This window comes from Homo sapiens, chromosome 20 (genome assembly GCF_000001405.40).
Source record: "Homo sapiens chromosome 20, GRCh38.p14 Primary Assembly".
Taxonomy (NCBI): Eukaryota; Metazoa; Chordata; class Mammalia; order Primates; family Hominidae; genus Homo; species Homo sapiens.
This window is the reverse complement of record NC_000020.11, coordinates 24,112,491-24,120,573: the sequence shown is the minus strand read 5'-3', so window position 1 is coordinate 24,120,573 and position 8,083 is coordinate 24,112,491. Positions and strand designations below refer to the sequence as shown.

General features: G+C 49.2%; 3 annotated features.

Annotated features, from left to right (window-relative positions):
• Window positions 1,710–2,420: an enhancer, noted in NCBI's record as "NANOG-H3K4me1 hESC enhancer chr20:24098790-24099500 (GRCh37/hg19 assembly coordinates)". NCBI's record gives its function as "activates a minimal SCP1, AML or CMV promoter by ChIP-STARR-seq in naive H9 embryonic stem cells {active_cell/tissue: H9 hESC(naive)}" and the evidence as "EXISTENCE:reporter gene assay evidence [ECO:0000049][PMID:30033119]".
• Window positions 2,421–3,130: an enhancer, noted in NCBI's record as "H3K4me1 hESC enhancer chr20:24098080-24098789 (GRCh37/hg19 assembly coordinates)". NCBI's record gives its function as "activates a minimal SCP1, AML or CMV promoter by ChIP-STARR-seq in primed H9 embryonic stem cells {active_cell/tissue: H9 hESC(primed)}" and the evidence as "EXISTENCE:reporter gene assay evidence [ECO:0000049][PMID:30033119]".
• Window positions 7,267–7,767: an enhancer, noted in NCBI's record as "H3K4me1 hESC enhancer chr20:24093443-24093943 (GRCh37/hg19 assembly coordinates)". NCBI's record gives its function as "activates a minimal SCP1, AML or CMV promoter by ChIP-STARR-seq in naive H9 embryonic stem cells {active_cell/tissue: H9 hESC(naive)}" and the evidence as "EXISTENCE:reporter gene assay evidence [ECO:0000049][PMID:30033119]".

Genomic DNA, 8,083 nt, shown 5'->3' with positions numbered 1-8,083 from the left:
ATGGGTTCTTCTTCCTTCTCTCCCCACTGCTTCCCTGTCCTTCTGAACAGCCTCTGAGCAGTAGCCATAGTGGTAACAGTGTGGAGTCCATCAGTCACAGCTGTAGTGCCACATGGGGAAGGGGGAGCTCCTGCTTTTCAGTGAGAATGGTGTAGGGGCCAGCTCCTGTCTTCCACAGGGTGGTCCTGGAGGAAATGCCTCCTCTCTCTTGGGCTCCTTCTGAGAGACCACTGTGCTGATCTCATGGGGCAGGGTGCACAGCCATGGGACCATGCAGGCAAAGTCATTCACTGTGTCTCTGGGGGTGTTTCCCTCTGTCCTCTGAGAGCTGGGGTGAGGTGACCCCATTCCCTGCCCTCCTTCAGCTTCTCTTGCATAAACTGTCCCAGACTCAAGGAGAGGAGGTGGGAAGCATGTGGCTTTGTCTCAAGCTCCTTGTCCAAGCCGTGATCTCCAGAAGCTTTGCTCAGAGCTGACCCCCAGGATCCTTCAGCCTGCTCAGTGTTAATACAATGGCTCCCCATTCCCATTCAGCTCTGTCTGCAAATTAGGTCCCCTCAGACAAAACACAAGAAGTGAGCAGGCAGACATTGGTCCCAACCCACCACTGAAGCCCACACAGGCCCCTGACATTTGTGCCCCATTTATTCTTCCAACAGCCAAGCCGATCCTGGTTATCCCCACTCTCCAGACAAAGACATCCAGAGCGAGTAGCTCAGCGTCTTTCCCGTAGTTCCACAGGCTGACAAGTGGTAGATCTAGAAGGCCCAGCCTGTGATGGTGACACTGTGCTAGTCTGTGGCTTGGCCTCTCAGTCCTCTTTGCCACAGTCATTGGCCGGCATGAGACCCAGCTAAGCTACTGGGCCCTTGTCCTGCCCAGGGACATGGATCTACTCTACAGACTTTGCATTTTCTTGTTTACAGTCGCTGTCTTTCTGAGATGTAAACCTGTCTTCATTTATGGTCTGACATCTACTGACACTTCAGAGAAGTTGGGGCAAAGACATGCTGGGGAATGTTGCTACTTGTCCTCTGTCCTGGGATGAGTGATCAAAAGCATGTGGCCAAGGGGATTGCAGAAGCAGCTGCAGCTGAGTTTGCTGTTCTCTGATTTCCCACTAAACTCCACTTGCACCAATATCTCTTTCCATTCCATTGTCTCTGTAATTGCCAAAACATCTTTTATTAAGAAACAAAAACAAAGAAGAAACCAACTAAATTTCTCCATGTTGCTCACAACTTGCCAACCTTCAGTCACCAATAATATACTGGTCACTTTTGTAGCACTTGCTGTGTGTGGGGAGGTACTCAGAGTTCACACAGATTGGTCCAGTGAATTCTCAGAACAGCCCCATGGGGTAGGTGCTGCTAGGACCGCTATTCCTACATATGAGGACACAGAGGCACAGAGAGGCTCCATAACTGGCCCAAGCTCACACAGCCGAAGGGCGGAAAACAGGCAGTCTGGCTGCAGGGCTTCAGTCCCAACCACAGCACGTTCTAGGTCAGCATCTGGTGACTCGAGGACCAGTGGGATCCCAGCACCTGCTCACCTCTCCCACCCAGGCTAGTCCCTGATCCATTGCCCCAAACTCCTGCAGTTCCCAGAACAAACCAGGCTCTTTGGCAACGTCCTCCTTGGCACCAGATGTTTCCTTTTCCTAATCTGGGCTTGGCGAGCACCGACTCCTTCTCCAACATAATGACTCATCTCTGCCCTCGCCTCCCGGGGAGGTCCTTTTCAATCATCTGATAACTGTCAACGTTGACCTTCTTTCATCAGGACCAGCACTCCTCAAACTTCAAAGTGCACAGGAATCACACAGGAAGCTTTGAAAAGTGCAGGCTCTGGCTCCACTGGGCAGCAGGGCCTGGGCTGCATTTTCAGTAAGATCCCAGACAAGACCCTCGGGCTACTGGGTTGTTCCAGGGACCACTCCCGGCAGCAGCCCGCCCATGGCTCCTGTTTGCCCCTGCCACCCACCACAGTGCTTGGCCCTCCGGGGGGTGATGCCTTGCCTGTGAGTCTGTCCCACACCATCCATGCCAGCCTCCATGGCAGGTGTCACAGCCACCCCTTTCCCTGTTATTTATCCCAGTGCCCGACACATCAGAGAAGTAAAATACGTGCTTTAATTTTTTTCCTTCAATTCTAAAGGACATCTCAATGCCAAAAGCTAGACGTCATCTAGATGAAATGTAAATAAGGCAGTGAGCATAAGCCACTTGCATTTAAGCTTATTTTTTTCATGAGAGCCCAAAATATGAGAAGAGACAGAAGCCTGATAAACACAATACATCAGGAATCGGAGCTGAGGAAGTCAGCAGACTTTCAGATGAAAACAGTCCAACTCGACACATCTGCCTATGATTTTCTCAGCCAGCAGCCCATGAAATAAAAGTCCTCTGCTTTATAATTTCTTCTATTTGTTTAACTTAAAGGCCCATGTACAGCCACACAGTGTATTAAATACTGAGCAGCCAGAACTGATAAAAACGACAAACATGCATCGCAACCACTCAAGCTGAAGAATCAGTTTTAGCCAGCTGTGCTTCACCTGCCAAAAAAATAATCCCACTGCTTCCCCTTGAGTTTCCCCAAAGCAGACGCTGGGAGGAGGAATGGGGCCAGGACCCTACACAATGTGGAAGTGAGCACGCCGCATGGGAGGAGAAGGCAGGAGAGAGTGTGGCTGTGCTTCCCGGCAGCGAGGTGACCCGTCCCCCACTGGGCAGATGAGAAGCGCAGAGCCCGGACATTCGCAGAAAAAGGGGCAGCAATGTAGCCTGTCGTCTGAGGCCAGGGTGTGAAGGAAACTTTGGGAGCAATGGCTTTGGGAGAGCAAAAAGAACCCAAGACATCAGAAAGGACTTCCTTGAGCATGTTTGTTGTCAAAAGCTGCTTTGAAAATTCTGTTTCAGGCATCTGTTTCCAGAAAGACTTGCACAGTCCTATAGTGAGTGATAAGATTGGTGTTGAAGGAACCCTGGGGTTTCCTCCAGGGGCAGAAAGCATCACGGATGGCCCCATGAGCACAGCATTTTAGCTGCATGGAGTCATCGCACATTCCAAATAGAAGGGAGCAGAAATTATATGTTTCCTTCAAATGAGAAAACAAATCCTCAGGAGAGTTAAGAACTATCCCCAAGGTCACACCACTAGGTAAAGACAAAAGCAGAAGATGGATCTAAGTTTCTGAGCTAATCCCTGCTCTTTCCATTTTGCGAGAAACTGAACATGGAGTCAATCCGGGAGGGGAAGGAAGCCTCAGAGGCTGTGAGAGCCACCTGCGTGCCTGCTGCCAGTAGCTGGCATGGCCACCCAAGCAGCAGTGCCCCTCCTGGCCTTCCTCCTCCCCCTCTCTCATCAGCACAGAATGCTGAGGCTGGTGGTTAGCTAATTTATTCCTATCATGTTATAGATGAGATAATCACCAAGGTCCTAGGGAGAGCCCCAGGGTAAGTAACTAGGAATGGGCAGAACTGAGACTCTGAAATCAATACCGAAACCAATAGGATTCCCACCTACTCATGAGGCAGGAAAATAGGGTCTGGATGCAGGGAACTTAAGGCCAATTTGCTCTGCCTCCCCAAAGCTGAATCAAAGGGAGAAACCAAGATCTGGGGGCAGGGAATCAAAAGCCAATACGTGGTAATTTCCTAAAGCTAGATCCAAAGGCAAACAAGGATCAAAGGCTACACTCCCTACAATTCTCCCCCTTCCCCCACATCTCAGATGGAAAGGGACAGTGCCTTGGATTGGCTGCGGGCCAGGCAGGGGCCATCCCTGCATCTGCATTGGCCGCAAATCCACTCCAGCCTTGGGTTGACTGTAGGCAAGTTCACATCAGCTTTTAATTAGCCATAAACCAAATCCTTCCTCCAGATGAAGGGTAGCCCACAGGGACCTCAAAAGGAGTACTTAAAACCCAGAAAACTGTGTAACGGGGCCCTTGAGCCACTTGCTCGGGCCCACTCCCACCTTGTGGAGTGCCCTCTCGCTTTAATAAAGCTCGGCTTTCTCTGCTTCGTTTCTGCATTTCATTCCTCTGCTACTTCCTTTGTGCATTTTGTTCAATTCTTTGTTCAAAATGCCAAGGACCTGGGCAATTCACACGCAAGGCTTTCCTTCCAATAACACTCACTGTCATTAAATTTAAAAAATAATAATGGAGAAATACATGTAGATACATATTTCAAATAGCCCTCCCCCTCTGCAGTGGGCTGCCCCATCATCACACTGTCCTGCAGCACAGCCCCACAGCAGCCCGCAGTCTGCTTCATGAGGTCCTAATGACCCCAGGCACTAACCATGCTTATGGAAGCTACCCATGAGGTGTTGTTAATGCAAATCTAACAGCCATGTCACAAACTGGACATACTGTATTAGGAAATTTTTTTCTTTCTTTCTTTCTTTCTTTCTTTCTTTCTTTCTTTCTTTCTTTCTTTCTTTCTTTCTTTCTTTCTTTCTTTCTTTTTTTTTCTTTTTGAGATGGAGTTTAGCTCTTGTAGCCCAGGCTGGAGTGCAATGGCACGATCTTGGCTCACTGCAACCTCCGCCTCCCAGGTTCAGGTGATTCTTCTGCCTCAGCCTCCCGAGTAGCTGGGATTACAGGCACTGCCACGATGCTAGGCTAATTTTGTATTTTTTTAGTAGAGACGGGGTTTCACCATGTTGGCCATGCTCCTCTTGAATGCCTGACCTCAGGTGATCCCCCCATCTTGGCCTCCCAAAGTCCTGGGATTATAGGCATGAGCCACCGTGCCTGGCCGTTGTATTAGGAAAATTAAACCCAGTTTGCCTGGCTGGATGCAGACATCAGATTTTGTTCAGTTCCAACCTTTTGTGAGAATGCTACTTGGCTTCCAGAGGAAGAAAATAAACTGAAGATAGATAACGTCTAAAAGAAGTCCAGAGAGGTTGTGTGAGGATGTGTGTGTGTGTACGTTTGTGCATGAGTGTGCATGTGGGGTATGTCAATGGGTATATGAGTGTTGGGGAGGTGCGAGGGGTGGATGCAGGGCTTTTTCCCCTTCCCAATTCCTACCTGAAGCAACCCTGGACTGCATCAGCTCCTGAGGGAATTAAATGCAGACAGCAGTGACAGCTCAGTTTCCTGCTTCTGTCTAAATCAGTGACAGCTGAGTTTCCTGCTTCCGTCTAAATCTTCCTTTCTTCCAACATCTCACACATCAACAACATCTTTTGCAGCACTATAAACATTATTTGGTTTTGTTACCAGAAAAGGGTCCAGATCCAGACCCCAAGAGAGGGTTCTTGGATCTCATGGAAGAAACAATTCAGGGCGAGTCCAGAAAGTGAAAGCAAGTTTATCAAGAAAGTAAAGGAAAGTAAAAGAATGGCTACTCCATAGAGCAGCTCTGAGGGCTGCTGGTTGCCCATTTTTATGGTTATTTATTGATTATATGCTAAATAAGGGATGGATTACTCATGCCCCCCTTTTTAGACCATATAGGGTAACTTCCTGACATTACCATGGCATCTGTAAACTGTCATGGCGCTGGTGGGAGTGTAGCAGTGAGGATGGCCAGAGGTCAGTCTTGTGGCCATCTTGGTTTTGATGGGATTTGGCCGGCTTCTTTACTGCTGTCTGTTTTATCAGCAAGGTCCTGTATCTTGTGCCAACTTCCTAGCTCTTCTGTGACTTAGAATGCCTAACCTTCTGGAAACGCAGCCCAGTAGTTCTCAGCCTTATTTTACCCAGCCCCTATTCAAGATGGAGTTGCTCTGGTTCCAACGCCTCTGACAGCTTGTTCCAGAAAAAATAAAAATCAAATATCTCTAGAGGTGAACATTTCTTAACTCAGTTTGAATTGAGTACAGGTGAAATATTTCAGAGGTGGTCCTGTATTCTTAGCAACAACAGCATGCTCCAATTAGGTGCCTGTTACATGCCAGGTGCTTAATTTTGAACTCTCTTCTCTATTCTTTGAAGTTGTCCTACATGTGGGACCAAATCATCTTGTACATATGAGGATACTAAGAGAGGCAAGAGGCCAAGTTGACCTATGAACCTAGATGTGTCTGATTCCAAAATCTGGATTTGAAAATCACTGGTTTAGTGGAAATAGCTGGACAGACCTGAGATTAAATCCTATCTTTCCTGAGTAACCCTCTCCTTGGCAAAGTACTCTCAAGAAAGTGGAAGAAATGTCTGTGAGGGCTAAAACTGACACCTGTGGTGATGGCCCAAATTAGCCAGTTTTGAGGTCCTCCACATTTGGTGCATATTGGAATCAGCTGTGGAGTTTCAAACCTCAAAACTCCAGGCCTTTCAGACTGGAGAAGGCCAGATGTGGGATTGTGGTAACTGCACAGGTGAGCTGGATAGACAGCAAAGATTGAGCATGGTGACCCATGTCAGTGGTCCATGCTCCTCTCCAGCTTGAATGTCAGAATCACCTGGAGGGGTTGTTAAACCTAGAGTACCTTTGTGAGCAGGCCTCAGAATGTGCGTTTCTGACAAGTCCACAGATGCTGCTGGTCTAGGAACCGCTGCTATGTTGTAGCAATGGCATGAAGAAAGGCAAGTGAAATACCAGGCCCGGGTCTGGAGGAAGCCAGTCCTCAGTGATACCCGTGGTCACTGGCTCCAGGCCTGGGAGGTCTCTCCCTGCACAAACTCAACTGTGTTGACCACTCCAAGATGGACAAGACCCATCTGTGAGCCCATGTGTTTACTCCATATTGAAGAGAGACTTTTGAGCCACTGATTAATTCAGAAGAATTTATATTTCAGGTAACAGAATATTGGTGTTCAAAAGGATAGCATTTATTATTTTTAAGCTACATTTTATGAGTAAGCCAGTAAAGTCAGTCGAGCCTCAGAAAAACAAAGTGACTTGAAGAAAACCAGACAGCTAGTTAGCTATGGCAGAACTGGACTAGGACCCAACCCTCCTGCTTTCCAGTTCTCGAATTCAGGTTGGTACCAAGAGCACCTCAGATGTGTCAACATAGGCACTGGAGGAGCAGCTGCCCTGCTGCTGCTGTCCAGCTCCAGGAGCCTCACACTTCCCTGTGACTTGGGGAGGGAGCTTCTGTGCGAGTCCTTCAGACCTGTGAGTTTAGAAGTTGGGAGCATGCACTCTCTGCTGGGCTGCATGCCCTGAGCCCTCTGCTCTGAACTGAACTCCTCATCTCCTCTGTGCTCTGCTGGGCTCAAGAGAATCTGGGCTCAGGCGACTGTGATGCTGCCAGTCTCTAATCTTATTAACTCACTCCAGAGTATCCCTGCAATGGCCTCTCTTCTTCCACTCTGTCCATCTTCACCCACGATTTGAATTAGGCTGCCCGGAGACATCTCGGCTGAGTCTGTCTGGCCAATTTGCTGTTGATTACTTCTGCCTCCTCATTCTCTGACCACATGGATGTGAAACCTGTTAGTTTGATTAGGAAGTGAGAGGCAGTCACGGAGCCAAGTGTCTGGGGAGAGATTTCAGGCACGCACAGAACAACCCCGCAAAGGTGACTGGACCAGGAAACAGGCAGTTTACCGCTTGGGCATGGGGAGGTGGAGGAAATAGATTCTGTGAATGCCCTGAGAGAGCAGACAGCCAGGGGAACAGCGATGCTCCCTGGAGAGCGTGTGCAGGCTCACCACTTGCTCTCTGGCATCACAACCCCTGGACATGCTCCGGGCTTGATCTCCCCACGGGGCTCCCTGCCCTAACTCCCCCAGTCTGGACTCCTAGAGACAGAGCTACATGCCTTCTCTGTAGGGCAGGGAGGTGATCTCACTCTGCACTGTCCCATCACCTCTTTGGGCCTCAGTTTCCTCATCTGTCCAGTGAAGCTGGTGACCCATGCACAGGGTTGCCGAGAGGCCCCAGGGCAATTTCGAGGGTTAGGCGAAGAAATTTTCCAGGGGAGGAGTTGGTGTGGGGCAGGGCAGTGTTGGCCCAGAGGCTGCCTGCTTTTGCCCACGGCATCTTTCTGAAAGGTGAACCCCACAGGTGGTTCCCCTGTGAGCATGGGATGGACACCACCTGCTGGTGAAGAGAGTCCTGTGTGGGGAAGGGAAGGGGTGAAATGGGTCAGATAATGGTCTGAATTCATC